Here is a 14,254-nt window from a genome sequence, read left to right on the forward strand (position 1 = left end):
GGATATAATAAAGCTGTCTTTACAGGGTGGCTGTGAAAGAAGATGCCTGAAAGGGATCTGAAAAATGTTAAGTATTGCACGAATGAATGATATTATAGCCCCTTCCGCCCCAGCCTATAATAAAAACGTAAAAGCTGATATCAGATTTTTTTCTATATTACAGGCATTGTACTTAGTACTTTACAGGCACATTCCTGCAATCGTCAAAACAACTTTAGGAGGTTGGGCACTGTTATTATCCCAACTTTGCAGACAAAAAACGATATCACGCTTGAGCCCAGGAGGTCGAGGCTGCAGTGAGCCATGTTCGCGGCACTGTACTCCAACCTGGGCGAGAGAGTGAGACCCTGTCTCAAAAACAAAAAGAAAAAAAAAAACGATCTCAGAGAGATGAAGCCTGTGATTTGCTCAAAGTCACACAGTAATGTAAGCAGTATAGCAAATAATATAAGATTCCAAAGCCCAAGGTAGTAAAAAGAGGATTATAGACGTGGTGGAACCTGTTGGCTGCGGGGCAAATGACTGACCTGTAACTGTCAGGGATTTATGGAGGGAAATGAGTGCCTAACAAAAATCCTCGTTTAGTGGGAGAGAGGTTGTTGGGTAATGACTGACTTGTAGCTGGAAGAAATCATCGGATTTTTATTCTTTTATTAAAGAAAAAAAATTTGAAATGCCTTCCATGTGCCAAGCACTGTGTCAGGTGGGAGATGACAGCTTGGTGAAACCTCTGTCAGGCTGTCTTCCTCCGCTTTCTCTATCCCTGGGTTTCCCCCTGCCTAAAAAGGATTTTGTGCTTCGTGGCTTGTCCAGGCAAGCAGGCCGTCGCGGGACCTAGACCGAGACAGTGAGTCTCTCTTTCTCCCGGGCCTCCCTTCTGTTTCCTGGGCTGCAGGGGAGCAGGAAATCTGGGGCGAGATTCCCGCCGCGGACGCGCACTGCCGAAGCCTGGTCCCTCGACCTGTCCCTGCCCAGCGCGGGGGCGCAACCGCCACGCCTCCTCACCCCTCCCTCCGGCTGCACGAATAATGACAACAGCCGCCCCTCCCACCTTTGGCGTCACGTTCAAAACAATCCTTTGACTACAACTCCCAGAAGGCCGAGCGGCTTAGCGAGTGCACCCGCTCTCGGCTGCTCCGGCAAACTACACATCCCAAAGGGCAGCGCGCGACCGCGTGTCCTTTCACAGCGCAAGTGCGGAACTGCGTTTGTTTCCGGCGTGGGTCCGGGCAAGAACCGCTTGTAGTTTGGTTTAAATTCTGCACGGGAGGACCTTCTGAGTTTACCTGTTGGGCTCCTGGCTGCGCAGGTGAGTTAAAAAAAGGGCAGGAACACAACTGTCACCTCCTTGGGGTCTGGGGACATTTTGGTGTCTGGGGAGATTTTGGTGTCTTGGGGAGATTTTGGTGTCTGGGAAGGTTGGGACAAATGCTGGAGCTAGAGCTGCAGTCCAGGATCAGAAATAATTCATATCGTTTCCTTGCCGTTTTCTAGTTTACGAAGTGCTTTTTTTTCCTCCCACAATTCCTGTAAACCCCAAGAACAACACTGTATTTGAGGAAGTGTAAGTGCTTCCAGTCGACAGCTTCAAAGGTTCAGAGAAGTTAAGTGATTGTCTAAAGACACTACTAGTAGTTACAGAGACGAGGATTAGGCTGTTTTCTGAGTTCAGACCCGGTGTGCTCTGCTTTGCATCCGTATTTCAGACGCCCTTTCCTGTTGACTAGGATGATTGGGGTCAGGGCATCTGTTACCTTCTCAAGTTTGGAGTTTACCAATAGAGTGATGGAGGGTGATATAATTAAATCTTCTGTCAGTCTGTAGGTATGGTTTTTCTCTGATGTCTGAGACATTAATTCACTCAATGTATTGAGGTGCCTACAGTCTGTCAAGCTGTATTCTAAGCAGTATATAGTATCAAACAAAAATGCCTAAGTCTTACATTTTGGGGTGGAGGAGGCGGGGAAGACACAATATATAGTGAGACCGATGGTGATAAGAAATATGGAGAGAATTAAAGCAAGGTAAGGGGAAACATTCATTGTATGTTTTTATTATTTATTTATTTATTTGTTTATTTTATTTTATTTTTTTTTGAGACAGAGCCTTGGTCTGTCACCCAGGCGGGAGTACAGTGGCATGATCTCGCCTCACTGCAACCCTGCAACCTCCACCTCCTGGGTTCAAGCGATTCTCCTGACTCAGTCTCCTGAGTAGCTGGGACTACAGGCGCCCACCATTATGCCTGGCTAATTTTTGTATTTTTTAGTAAATACTGAGATTTCACCATGTTGGCCAAGCTGGTCTTGAACTCCTGACCTCAGGTGATCCACCCACCTTGGCCTCCCAAAGTGCTGGGATTACAGGCGTGAGCCACCAGGCCTGGCCAATATTTGCATTTTTTCTACAGACGGGGTTTCACCATGTTGCCCAGGCTGGTCTTGTACTTCTGAGCTCAGGGGATCTGCCCAACTCAGCGCCCCAAAGTGCTGAAATTACAGGCCTAAGCCACTGTGCCTGGCCCATTGGATGATTTTTTTTTTTTTTTTTGAGATGGAGTCTTGCTCTGTTGCCCAGGCTAGCATGCAGTGGCACAATCTCGGGTCACTGCAGCCTCTGCCACCTGGGTTCAAGCGATTCTCCTGCCTTGGCCTCCCAAAGAGCTGGGATTACAGGCACCCTCCACCATGCCCGGCTAATTTTTTTTTTGTATGTTTAGTAGAGACAGGGTTTCACCATGTTGGCCAGGCTAGTCTTGAACTCCTGACCTCAAGTGATCCAGCCACCTCGGCTTCCCAAAGTGCTGGGATTACAGGCGTGAGCCACCATGCCTGGCCCCATTGGATGTTTTTGTAACAGAAGACTGACTTATAATTAGATCTGATATTTAATTTGTGTTCTAGGCACAGCAGCTACACAGAAGAGATGGGAGAAGAGGCTAATGATGACAAGAAGCCAACCACTAAATTTGAACTAGAGCGAGAAACAGAACTTCGCTTTGAGGTGGAGGCATCTCAGTCAGTTCAGTTGGAGTTGTTGACTGGCATGGCAGAGATCTTTGGCACAGAGCTGACCCGAAACAAGAAATTCACCTTTGATGCTGGTGCCAAGGTGGCTGTTTTCACTTGGCATGGCTGTTCTGTGCAACTGAGCGGCCGCACTGAGGTGGCTTATGTCTCCAAGGACACTCCTATGTTGCTTTACCTCAACACTCACACAGCCTTGGAACAGATGCGGAGGCAAGCGGAAAAGGAAGAAGAGCGAGGTCCCCGAGTGATGGTAGTGGGCCCCACTGATGTGGGCAAGTCTACAGTGTGTCGCCTTCTGCTCAACTACGCAGTGCGTTTGGGCCGCCGTCCCACTTATGTGGAGCTGGATGTGGGCCAGGGTTCTGTGTCCATCCCTGGTACCATGGGGGCCCTCTACATCGAGCGGCCTGCAGATGTCGAAGAGGGTTTCTCTATCCAGGCCCCTCTGGTGTATCATTTTGGTTCCACCACTCCTGGCACTAACATCAAGCTTTATAATAAGGTCAGAGCCAGAGAAAGGTGGGGTGGAGGGAAGGGCTGCTATCAGGGTAGGAAACTGGAGAAGTTTACTAGTTAACACTGCATTTTCTCAGCTGGTATTTCTGCTGCATTACTTTAGAAAGGCAATTCCAAATATGTCAGTCTCAGATTGTTAAACATTTCTGTGGATCTATTCTTAGTAATTTGTTAGATTTTCACTTAGGGCATAAAACAGGAGGCAGAAGCAGCAACATAAAAATTAAATCCATGTTATGGTATCAAAACTACAGCCATTAAAAATGTCATTTTTTCAGGCTGGGTACAGTGGCTCATGCCTGTAATCCCACAACTTGGGAGGCTGAGACGGGTGGATCACCTGAGGTCAGGAGTTGGAGAGCAGCCTGGCCAACATGGTGAAACCTTGTCTCTACTAAAAATACAAAAAGTAGCTGGGCGTGGTGGCTGGTGCCTGTAATCCCAGCTGTTCAGAGACTGAGGCAGGAGAATCACTTGAACGCGGGAGGTGGAGGTTGCAGTGAGCTGAGATCGTGCCACTGCACTCCATCCTGGGCAACAGAGTGAGACTCCATTTCAAAAAAAAAATCATTTTTCTTATATCTAATAGCACTTATTCTAAAGAGGAACAAAGTAGCCATGGGTTTGTCTGGGTGTTTTTGTTCTTACCTTGATCCTCTCTTTTGCAGATTACATCTCGTTTAGCAGATGTGTTCAACCAAAGGTGTGAGGTGAACCGAAGGGCATCTGTGAGTGGCTGTGTCATTAACACCTGTGGCTGGGTCAAGGGCTCTGGTTACCAGGCTCTGGTGCATGCAGCCTCAGCTTTTGAGGTGGATGTCGTTGTTGTTCTGGATCAAGAACGACTGTACAATGAACTGAAACGGGACCTCCCCCACTTTGTACGCACTGTGCTGCTCCCTAAATCTGGGGGTGTGGTGGAGCGCTCCAAGGACTTCCGGCGGGAATGTAGGGATGAGCGTATCCGTGAGTATTTTTATGGATTCCGAGGCTGTTTCTATCCCCATGCCTTCAATGTCAAATTTTCAGATGTGAAAATCTACAAAGTTGGGGCACCCACCATCCCAGACTCCTGTTTACCTTTGGGCATGTCTCAAGAGGATAATCAGCTCAAGCTAGTACCTGTCACTCCTGGGCGAGATATGGTGCACCACCTACTGAGTGTTAGCACTGCCGAGGGTACAGAGGAGAACCTGTCCGAGACAAGTGTAGCTGGCTTCATTGTGGTGACCAGTGTGGACCTGGAGCATCAGGTGTTTACTGTTCTGTCTCCAGCCCCTCGCCCACTGCCTAAGAACTTCCTTCTCATCATGGATATCCGGTTCATGGATCTGAAGTAGAGATCAGCAGGAAGCCTTGCTGCCTGGGACATAGAGATCATCTGGCCACCCCTAGAGGCAGATGGGCTGAGATAAAAGACTGTTGGGGCCACCTGACCAGTAAACTGTGGACTAGTAGAAAGTTCATATTCTACCTCTAAAAACAGGTAGTGGTAACCTGACTCTTCTAATCTTGAACCAAAAGGAAAACCATGAGACTGTAATTGGTTTCTTAGACCACCTAAGATGCCACTTTGAATTCTCTAAGACCCTGGAGAATTGCATTTCTTTCACTGTGCTACTATGTGGTTTTTAAAAAATCAATGCTTTATATTCCATATGTGGTTCTTACCCATTTATCTAGGATGAAAGTGTGAATTAGAGGGACTCCTTCCAATAAAGTTCAAACTTAAAAAAAATCATTTTAATAAATATTTTTGCCATATCATAGAAGTTGGTATAATTTATTTTTTTCCCCTAAGCGTTATAGAAACATAATTGGAATGATTTATTGCTAAAATGCTTGGAGGAGGGGAAAACCAAGAAACCTACCTGTGAGCCACGTCAGGTTTTTTTTTTTGGTGGTGGTGGTGGTTGTTTTTGTAAGAGTCTCACACTGTCACCTGGGCTGGAGTGCAGTGGCGTGATCTTGGCTCACTGCAACCTCTGCCTCCCAGGTTCAAGTGATTCTCCTGCCTCAGCCTCCCAAATAGCTGGGGTTACAGGTGCCCGCCACCACGCCCAGCTAATTTTTTGTATTTCTTTTAGTAGGGACAGGGTTTCACTATGTTGGCCAGGCTGGTCTCAAACTCCTGACCTCATGATCTGCCTGCCTCGGCCTCCCAAAATGCTGGGATTACAGGTGTGAGACACTGTGCCCGGCTGTGAGTTCTTATGATAGTTCACCTTTCCTCTGCGCTTAGGTAAGTAGATGGTAAATCTGCTGTCAGTGCTGGATTTACTGTGGGGAGTTAGAGGCTGGTGATAATCTTGGAATGAGATTTCATATCTAATCATTTTCCAGAGATAGCTCATTTTCCTTCCAGTACAGCTATCCTTGTCTATTTGATTGGAACTAGGCCCTAAGTCAAAGTGTAACTTAAGCTTTCAGGTGGTAAGAAACTGGGAAAGCCCATTCTTTTTGATCTCTTGCAAATGACTGTTTGGTGTCCCTGGTTTGCACTTGGATTACTTAAGTATCTGATGCCATTCATCCATTCCTTCTTTTCATAAATGTTTACTGAGGACTGACTGTTTGTCAGGAGCCACTGTAGATGGGGAACAAGACAGACAAAAGTTTTATGGAGCTTACATTATAGAATAAACAAATTTAAAAAGGCAAGTGCTATGCAGAGACTTAAATTTGGGGGATATGAGACAGAGTGACTGGAGGCTACTTTAGATTGGGTGGTCAGGAAAGGCCCTTCCTGAGCATACATTTTGGGCTAAGACTTGAATGGCTGTGTGAAGTCTGGGGCAAAACCTTCCTGGTGAGAAAAAACTGCAAAACCCTAATAAAGGAACAAGCTTGATGAGTTTGGTGAAGAGAAAAGCCAGTGTGGTTGAAGCTTAGTGAACCAAGAAAGACTGTACAAGATGAGGCTGGAGGGGGCAGCAAAGACCAGATAATGTAGGGCTTTTGTAAACCACGGTGAAGAATGGATTTTTTGGCCCAGGTGCCATGGGTGGTGGCCATGCCTTTAACCCCAGCCACTCAGGAGTCTGAGAATCCCTTGAACCCAAGAGGTGGAGGTGCAGAAAGCCGAGATTGCATCACTGCATTCCAGTCTAGGTGACAGAAGGACACTCTGTCTCAAAAAAAGAAAAGGATTTTTTATTTCTTTTTAAGAGATAGGGATCTCAGCCGGGCGTGGTGGCTCATGCCTGTAATCCCAGCACTTTGGGAGGCTGAGGTGGCTGGATCACTTGGGGTCAGGAGTTCGAGACCAGCCTGACCAACATGGTGAAACCCCATCTCTACTAAAAATGCAAAAAAAATTTAGTTGAGCGTGGTGGCACATGCTTGTAATCCCAGTTACTTGGGAGGTTGAGGCAAGAGAATTGCTTGAACCCGGGAGGTGGAGGTTGCCGTGAGCCAAGATCACGCCACTGCACTCCAGCCTAGGCAATAAGAGCGAAACTCTGACTCAAAAAAAAAAAAAAAAAAAAAGAGATGGGGCGTGTCTCACTATGTTGCCCAAGCTGGCTTTGAACTTCTGGGCTTAAGTGATCCGCCCACCTTAGTCTCCTGAGTAGCTGGGACTACAGGCTCATGCCACAGCACCTGGTTTAAGAATGGATTTTACTCTTAAGAGCAATGGGAACCAGAGGGGAGGGGTAGTTAAGTAGAGTAATTATTTGATCTTTTTTTTTTTGGGGGGGGACAGAGTTTCATTCTTGTTGCCCAGGCTGGAGTGCAATGGCGCAATCTGGCTCAGTGCAACCTCCACCTCCCAGGTTCAAGCGAGTCTCCTGCCTCAGCCTCCCGAGTAGCTGGGATTACAGGCATGCGCCACCATGCCCGGCTAATTTTGTGTTTTTAGTATAGATGGGGTTTCTCCGTGTTGGTCAGGTTTGTCTCCGACTCCCGACTTCAGGTGATCCGCCCGCCTAGGCCTCCCAAAGTGTGGGATTACAGGCGTAAGCCAGCACGCCCGGCTGATCTCCTCCCTCCCTTCCCTCTTTCTTTCTTCCTTTCCTTTCTTTTCCTTTCCTTTCCTTTCCTCTTTCCTCTCTCCCTCCTTCCTGCTCTCTTTTTCTTCTCTCTTTTTTCTTCTCTTTTTCATTCCTTCCCCTTCCTTCCTATTCCTTCCTTTCCTTTCCTTCCCTCACCTCCTCTCCTCTCTCCTCCCCTTCCCTCCCCCTTTCCTTCCCTCCTTCTGAGTTTTGCTATGTTGCCCAGGCTAGAGTGCTGTGGCATGACCTCGGTGCACTGCAACCTCTGCCTCCTGGGTTCAAGTTATTCTCCTGCCTCAGCCTCCTGAGTAGCTGAGTAGCATGCACCACCATGCCTGGCGAATTTTTGTATTTTTAGTAGAGATGGGGTTTTGCCATGTTGGCCAGGCTGGTCTCGAACTCCTGACCTCAAGTGATCCATCCGCCTCGGACTCCCAAAGTGCTGGGATTAGCCTGGCTGATTACTTTACATTTTGAAAAGATCACTGCTTTGTGGAGAGTGGGTTATAGGGCAAGTGTAAAAGCAAGGACAGTAATTAGGAGAGTTTTGTAAAAGTGCAAATGTGAGAAATGGTGGGGGATGAAATACTAGGGCAGCAGAGGTAGAGCTGGTGAGAGGATATTCTGAAGGCAGGACTTCATAACGGAGTGGTGAGGAAAACGATGGAATCAAGGATGCATCCTGGATTTTTTTTAACAAGACACACTAGGTTAGACATGAGATTGGGAAAACTCAGGGAGTTGTCCCCCTGAGGGACAAGGGAAACTCGAGGTTTTTGGCAGTGTTAAATATGAGCTATTAATTGTCCATGGGTGGCGGAGGTTGCAGTGAGCTGAGATCGCGTCACTGCACTCCAGCCTGGGTAACAGAGCAAGACTCCATCCCCCAGCACCAGAAAAAATGCAGGAGCGAAGGAGATAGGATCCACAGCACAAAGGGAAGAACTACCCTTTAACACATACAGAGACATTTCACAAGGACAGGAGGAAAGAGCAGTATTTAAACACAAAGAGGTTGACCAGGAGCAGTGGCTCAGACCTGTAATCCCAGCACTTTGGGAGGTCGAGGCAGGCAGATCACTTGAGCTCAGCAGTTGGAGACTACCCTGGCCAACATGGTGAAACCCTAAAAACACAAAAATTGGGAAATGCATGTTCTAGCTTTCTGTGTGCTTAGGTGCCCATGCTACTGAGGGTCTAAGTCCAGGCAGCCGAAGAGTGTGGTGAGCAAGATGAACAAAGATGCGCAGATGAGAGAAGCCATTAACATATTAAAGTAATTTAAAGTTTGGGTGGTCTGGATATCATACTGTTTTAGCCTAGATTTTACTCTGGATACTTTTCAGAAGTAGCTGGCACTTTAAACCATATGTTCTATTAAACGTTCTTTCCAAGAAATATCTTGAGTGATCCCAAGGAAAACTGGACAAGTGGAATCTCTGTCTTTCAACTTTGGGATAGTGATTATACCTCTGTTAGTGCTCATCCACCTAACAAAGCTTGGCAATCCAAGTTAGTATCCCAGGGGAGTTTAGTTTGGTTGGATGGTGGAAGACTGATTTTTTTTTTCCATTTAGCACTGTCTAGCCAAGAGACACCACTATTTACAAGTTCTTAGACAGCTGAAAGGAAAATAAAAATGCCTAATTTGTGGAGGAAATCAGGAAGTCTAAAAATCCAAGAAAAATATTGCAACAGAAAAATGAAAGCTGACTTCATCTTAAAGAAACATGGCTTACAGGTAGAAAATGCCAATATCAGGCCGGGCACTGTGGCTCACACCGGTAATCTCAGCACTTTGGGAGGCCGAGGTGGGAGGATCATTTGAGGTCAGGAGTTCCAGACCAATGTGGCCATCATGGTGAAACCCCATCTCTACTAAAAATACAAATATTAGCCAGGTGTGGTGGCACATGCCTGTGATCCCAGCTACTCAGGAGGCTGAGGCATGAGAATTGCTTGAACCCGGGAGGAGGTTGCCATGAGCTGAGATCGCGCCACTGCACTCCAGCCTGGGTGACAGTGTGAGACTCCCTCTCAAAAAGTAAAAAATAAAATATCAATATTGTATCTTCAATAATTTACCTTTCATATGGTCTAAAGAGGTTTTTGTTTTGTTTTGAGACGGAGTCTTGCTCTGTTGCCCAGGCTGGAGTGAAGTTGTGTGGTCTCGGCTCACGGCAACCTCTGCCTCCCGGGTTGAAGCAATTCTCCTGCCTCAGCCTCCCGAGTAGCTGGGATTACAGGCTCCCCCGACCATGCCCGACTAATTTTTGTATTTTTAGTAGAGGGAGTTTCACTATGTTGGCCAGGCTGGTCTTGAGCACCTGACCTCGTGATCCGCCTGCCTTGGCCTCCCAAAGTGCTGGGATTACAGGTGTGAACCACCACGCCAGGCCAGGTCTGTTTTAAAAATATAAAGTCGTTATAAAGAACTCTCAAGTGTGTTGCAATAAATGCTGGATTGACGCTGTTAACAAGAATAAACTAGAACTTATAATATATGCCATGTCAGAGAAGGAACTAGATTCCAGAAAACAGAAGGTAGTTCTCTTTTACCTTACTGCCTAATGCTAGTGTCAGAACCACAGTAAAGCCAGCAACATTTGAGACCAAACCCGAGGACAGTCCTCAGGATTTTACAGGTGAGGGGCCTCGGCTTCAGGGAAGTGGCTTGTGAAACACCTTTTTGAGGGACCATTATGTAATAGCTAGAGTTGCTTTCGAAAAAAGAAATAGCCTCGAGCCGAATGGGGAGAGAACATGGGGCATTGCTATTGGGTTCACAGCTGTCTTGGGCTAATCAGGGCAAAGCGTAGCACTATGACCTATGCAGAGTTAGCTCGCCAGGGACAGTAGCTATTCTAGAGAACCTTTTGCTTTTAGCTTTGTATTCTAGGATTGGGTGAGGTGAGGGATGCGGGCGCCCATCCCACGTGTGACAGTGGGAAACTAATGGAATTCAGGGAGTTCACTTCCCGGCTCGCACTCCGGGGGCGGGAGGGTGCTGCCACCGCCTCAGGTCGCGCGCTCCTTAGGCTTCCCTCTCACGGTTAGCGCTACGGCTCCAAGGCTGGCGCCTGCTCTTCTTCATCTCCCTCCCCGGCCCTTGGCAGGAGCCTCGCCCTACATTGGCTCTTCAAGTCCGGGCGTCCCCTTCATGTGGGAGACACAGCCCAGACCATTCCATCGCCCTGGATTCTGCCCGGACCAGCGACCTCGCCGGACTGAAGATTTCTCCAGCAAGATTGTTTTAAATAAAGTTTTTGCCATCAAAAAAAAAAAAAAAAAAAAAAAAGGAGATGGGAAGGAGAAGAGGGAGGCCTAGTCGCCAAATGGTTGGCCAATCCGCCGCGAAGGGGCTGAAGCAGGAAGCGGCGATAGTCGTCGGTAATTGGCTGCGCTGGAAGCCTGTCTGGACTGTACCACCTCAGTAGGAGAGGGGTTGCTGAATTCGAGAAGGTAGCTGCTTGCTTTTGAGTACTTCTAGTACACACACATAATTCTTTTCTTATTTCCGGGGGTTTTTGCTTGGATTCAGTGGGAATACAACAGGACGCAGGAGAAGGGAAGACTCGCCTGGCCATTTCCTCATTCCTGACTCCTGTGCATTAGGCCAATCCTTGTCTCTTAGTTGTCCCCGCAACCCCACGGCCTTACGTGCGCGCTCTCGTCTTCTCGCGTGCGTACGTCGTTGTGTTGCTGCAGCCAATCAGGCCGCGAGGTCGCCGCGGTCGCCAGGGTTCGCGCGCACGCCCCAGATCGGAGTCGGGGTGGGGGCTATGGGTGAATGGGAGAGTGAGCGGGGTTGGGCGCGGCAGCGCGAGCCGCATGAATGAGACAAACGTGCGCCGCGCGAGACGTCGCGCGAGCCCGGACTAGGGAGCCAATGGGAACGCTGGAAGGGTTCGAGACCCGGCACTGAGGGCAACGGCCGCGCGCCGGCTCCGAGACGAGCGACGCCTGGCGGGAGCGCGCGGCAGCGGGGCGGGCGTGGAGCGTGCGGGGGCCGCGCGCTGCTTCTCTGAGGCAGGACGGCACTGCCGGGAGGCGGCGGTGACAACGACGGCGGTGGTGACGGGCACCGGGCTCGCGGGTGAGTGCGGAGGACACCGGTCCCTGCGGAACCGGAAGTGCCGTACCAGCGAGGTGGGAGGGGAGGGTGACCTCTAGGGAAGGGGGACCGAAGACGGGGAGGGTATTAAGGCCCTATTTCTCCTCCGGGCCGGGTCTTCCAACCGCGGCGGGACCCATGGGCCTTGGAAACGGACGACGAGTAGAGGCCGGGGATCCACGACCGCCAGGGCTCGGAACGGGTTAGAGACGGCCACTCAGCTCGAGACCGCGGTCCCCGGTGCCTGGCGCCCAGCCGCCGCCCCTTCCGCCCCCGGCCCTGCGCCCTCGGGCTCTGCGGTCCCCGCAGCCCGCTCTCTCAACCTCGGTGGGCCTGGCCGCCGTGGATTCCTTCTTTTCGGTTTCAGCGGTCGTCAGCCCTGCCCCAACGGGTGATTCTCCTTTCCCCAGTCCCGTGGTGGGGACCGGGTGCTGTTTCCCTTTTACCGCTCTGCGGTTCGAGTCCCTCGCTCCACTCTGCTGATACTTATTTTGGCTCAAGCTTCATCCTGTTACCTGTTCTCTCTCACCCGTCCGCTTCCTCCTCCTACCGCCACCAGCCGAGTGCTCCATGCGTTTAGTACTTTGTACTTTTTAAAGTGGAGCCCGAATGCGTTTGTCAATATTTTACCTATATTTGGGGCAGGCAGGTGGAAAGTGTTTTACCCACTTGGCCAAATGAAACACTGAAATAAGAAGTAAGAAAGTTGCTAAAAGTTAGGAAGGCAGTTGTAGGATCACATATACGTTATACGCTAGACTATTTTTTGCCTTGGATTCTTCACTTCCTGGTTAATGCCATCTTGACCAAGTTGATCTAACATTTGCATATCATCCTTCTATCTCAGTATACCTCTGTCCTGGATCAAATATCTTCAGAATGCTCATTATCACCCATTGTATAAACTTAATGTTTACAAAATTATATTGCCATGTATTTTGCTACCTCGGTATATAATGATAACACCCACATTAAACTTCTTGGCTCTTTCTCCCATACCTTGACATGTGAATTATTCCATGGTACCTCCATTACTGTGCATTTAGATTTACTCTATTGTACTGTTACACCGCTTATTTCAACAAAAAATAGTTGTGTTGTCCTTGGTACTGCTGGTATCCACCTATTTAAGGAAATACCTGTATTAAACCTTATTAAAGCCTTCAAACCACATATCCTGTATTGTTTGTTTTACATATACATATTTCCATTTCATAGTTTACTCTGTGCCTCAATATGGCATACATATTACTTTTTTTCTCATTTTTGAGACGGAGTCTGGCTCTGTCGCCCAGGCTGGAGTGCAGTGGCTGCTATCTTGGCTCACTGCAACTTCCACCTCCCGGGTTCAAGCGATTCTCGTGTCTCAGCCTCCCTAGTAGCTGGGATTTCAGGCATGCCCCATCACGCCCTGCTCATTTGTTTGTATTTTTAGTAGAGACAGGGTTTTGGTATGTTGGCCAGGCTGGTCTCGAACTCCTGACCTCAAATGATCCGCCCGCCTCGGCCTCCCAAAGTGCTGGGATTACAGGCGTGAGCCCCCGTGCCCAGCTGGCATACATATTCTTGTATACTTTTTTGATACTAGTATGGATTCAAACTGTTGACTCTGATGAACCATACTCACCCTTGTGGTTTCATCCTAGTATCTGCAGCACATTCTTTTGCTAAGAATTGGTTCATCTTTATTTATACCCAATAAATTGTTAGGTTTTTGATTTCCCTTCTACTGTGTAGCCCCCAAGCATCTCAGATGCTGTTCTCTTTTGTGTTCCCAGTATTATACTCCCAAAATTGCATGGCCTTTCATGACTCTGTATTACTATGTCAATATTAGTCCATGTGACTTTTTTCCTGTGGAAAATATATGAAACAATATATAGTATCTAAATGATATTCTACTCTAGATAAAATTTAAGTAGTATAATTTTCCATCTTTTCTAGTCTTTGGGATTTTGAGGGAAAAGTTTGCTTTAATAGTACATATTGGCTGGGCAGAGTGTCTCACACCTGTAATCCCAGCACTTTGGGTGAGGAGGCAGATCACCTGGAGGTCAGGAGTTCGAGACCAGCCTGGGCAACATGGTGAAACCCCATCTCTACTAAAAATACAAAATTAGCTGGGTGTGGTGGTGCCCTCCTGTAATCCCAGCTGCTCGGGAGGCTGAGACAGGAGAATTGCTTGAATCCGGGACTCGGAGGTTGCAGTGAGCTGAGATCACACCATGCACTTCAGCCTGGGTGACAGAGGGAAACTGTGTTTCAAAAAAAAAAAAAAAGTACATATTGTCTACAAATCAAGAGTTTGCTTTTGTTAACAAAGTTACTGAGGCCTACATTCCAAATGTTAGGCTTCCATTCCTGTAGGAAACTGAGAGTTAAATAATCATTAAATCAGGGACTAGAGAGGATTTATGTTTTCTAGGACTATAACAGTTTCTTAGAATCTTTTGGCGCTCACTGTATTCTAATACTGCTGTTTGGCCCTCTGAAACCCTAATTTTAAAGAGAGAAATGAATCGTAAGGGAAGGCACCTTTGCCTTCCATGCCATAGGTGAGAGAGGAAGTGGTACATTATAGGGCACATTTATATTTTGTT

The 14,254-nt window shown here is 48.0% G+C and overlaps 2 protein-coding genes across 7 annotated transcripts in view, besides 9 other annotated features; both read left to right on the plus strand.

Annotated features, from left to right (window-relative positions):
• Positions 685-854: an enhancer, noted in NCBI's record as "active region_4726". NCBI's record gives its function as "activates an Ori minimal core promoter by ATAC-STARR-seq in GM12878 lymphoblastoid cells {active_cell/tissue: GM12878}" and the evidence as "EXISTENCE:reporter gene assay evidence [ECO:0000049][PMID:35858748]".
• CLP1 (cleavage factor polyribonucleotide kinase subunit 1) lies at positions 1,211-5,314 on the plus strand. Of its 2 annotated transcripts, none has more exons than NM_006831.3 (3): positions 1,211-1,309; positions 2,904-3,531; positions 4,214-5,314. In NM_006831.3, the coding sequence occupies exons 2-3, from the start codon at positions 2,926-2,928 to the stop codon at positions 4,883-4,885; spliced, it is 1,278 nt and encodes a 425-aa protein (NP_006822.1). In that variant the 5' UTR covers positions 1,211-1,309; positions 2,904-2,925; the 3' UTR covers positions 4,886-5,314. The 2 variants fall into 2 exon arrangements, with proteins under 2 accessions (NP_006822.1, NP_001136069.1); NM_001142597.2 differs by having other exon boundaries at positions 2,904-3,339.
• Positions 6,390-6,459: a silencer, noted in NCBI's record as "silent region_3354". NCBI's record gives its function as "represses an Ori minimal core promoter by ATAC-STARR-seq in GM12878 lymphoblastoid cells {active_cell/tissue: GM12878}" and the evidence as "EXISTENCE:reporter gene assay evidence [ECO:0000049][PMID:35858748]".
• Positions 10,615-11,194: an enhancer, noted in NCBI's record as "active region_4727". NCBI's record gives its function as "activates an Ori minimal core promoter by ATAC-STARR-seq in GM12878 lymphoblastoid cells {active_cell/tissue: GM12878}" and the evidence as "EXISTENCE:reporter gene assay evidence [ECO:0000049][PMID:35858748]".
• Positions 11,364-12,003: an enhancer, noted in NCBI's record as "NANOG-H3K27ac-H3K4me1 hESC enhancer chr11:57435387-57436026 (GRCh37/hg19 assembly coordinates)". NCBI's record gives its function as "activates a minimal SCP1, AML or CMV promoter by ChIP-STARR-seq in primed H9 embryonic stem cells {active_cell/tissue: H9 hESC(primed)}" and the evidence as "EXISTENCE:reporter gene assay evidence [ECO:0000049][PMID:30033119]".
• Positions 11,364-12,084: a biological region, named in NCBI's record as "NANOG-H3K27ac-H3K4me1 hESC enhancer GRCh37_chr11:57435387-57436026".
• Positions 11,395-11,634: a silencer, noted in NCBI's record as "silent region_3355". NCBI's record gives its function as "represses an Ori minimal core promoter by ATAC-STARR-seq in GM12878 lymphoblastoid cells {active_cell/tissue: GM12878}" and the evidence as "EXISTENCE:reporter gene assay evidence [ECO:0000049][PMID:35858748]".
• The window catches only part of ZDHHC5 (zDHHC palmitoyltransferase 5), a 33,069-nt gene continuing 30,377 nt past the window's right edge, over positions 11,563-14,254 (plus strand). For 2 of the 5 annotated variants that reach the window (NM_015457.3, XM_047426724.1), the window contains exon 1: positions 11,563-11,636. The gene's annotated coding sequence lies outside the window, so the exon portion shown is untranslated. Of the gene's footprint in view, positions 12,046-14,254 lie in introns of all 5 variants that reach the window. The other 3 variants (XM_011544900.2, XM_011544901.2, XM_011544899.2) reach the window with 3 other exon arrangements.
• Positions 11,885-12,084: a silencer, noted in NCBI's record as "silent region_3356". NCBI's record gives its function as "represses an Ori minimal core promoter by ATAC-STARR-seq in GM12878 lymphoblastoid cells {active_cell/tissue: GM12878}" and the evidence as "EXISTENCE:reporter gene assay evidence [ECO:0000049][PMID:35858748]".
• Positions 12,004-12,641: an enhancer, noted in NCBI's record as "NANOG-H3K27ac-H3K4me1 hESC enhancer chr11:57436027-57436664 (GRCh37/hg19 assembly coordinates)". NCBI's record gives its function as "activates a minimal SCP1, AML or CMV promoter by ChIP-STARR-seq in primed H9 embryonic stem cells {active_cell/tissue: H9 hESC(primed)}" and the evidence as "EXISTENCE:reporter gene assay evidence [ECO:0000049][PMID:30033119]".
• Positions 12,195-12,264: an enhancer, noted in NCBI's record as "active region_4728". NCBI's record gives its function as "activates an Ori minimal core promoter by ATAC-STARR-seq in GM12878 lymphoblastoid cells {active_cell/tissue: GM12878}" and the evidence as "EXISTENCE:reporter gene assay evidence [ECO:0000049][PMID:35858748]".

Source organism: Homo sapiens, chromosome 11 (genome assembly GCF_000001405.40).
Source record: "Homo sapiens chromosome 11, GRCh38.p14 Primary Assembly".
In the NCBI taxonomy this organism is placed as follows: domain Eukaryota; kingdom Metazoa; phylum Chordata; class Mammalia; order Primates; family Hominidae; genus Homo; species Homo sapiens.

What these genes read in the sequence shown, in the direction of transcription:
- CLP1 (NM_006831.3), top strand. Translation starts at nt 2,926, where the DNA reads ATGGGAGAAGAGGCTAATGATGACAAGAAGCCAACCACTAAATTTGAA. An exon ending in ACATCAAGCTTTATAATAAG is followed by an intron (nt 3,532 to 4,213) that starts GTCAGAGCCAGA and finishes TCTCTTTTGCAG; the next exon opens with ATTACATCTCGTTTAGCAGA.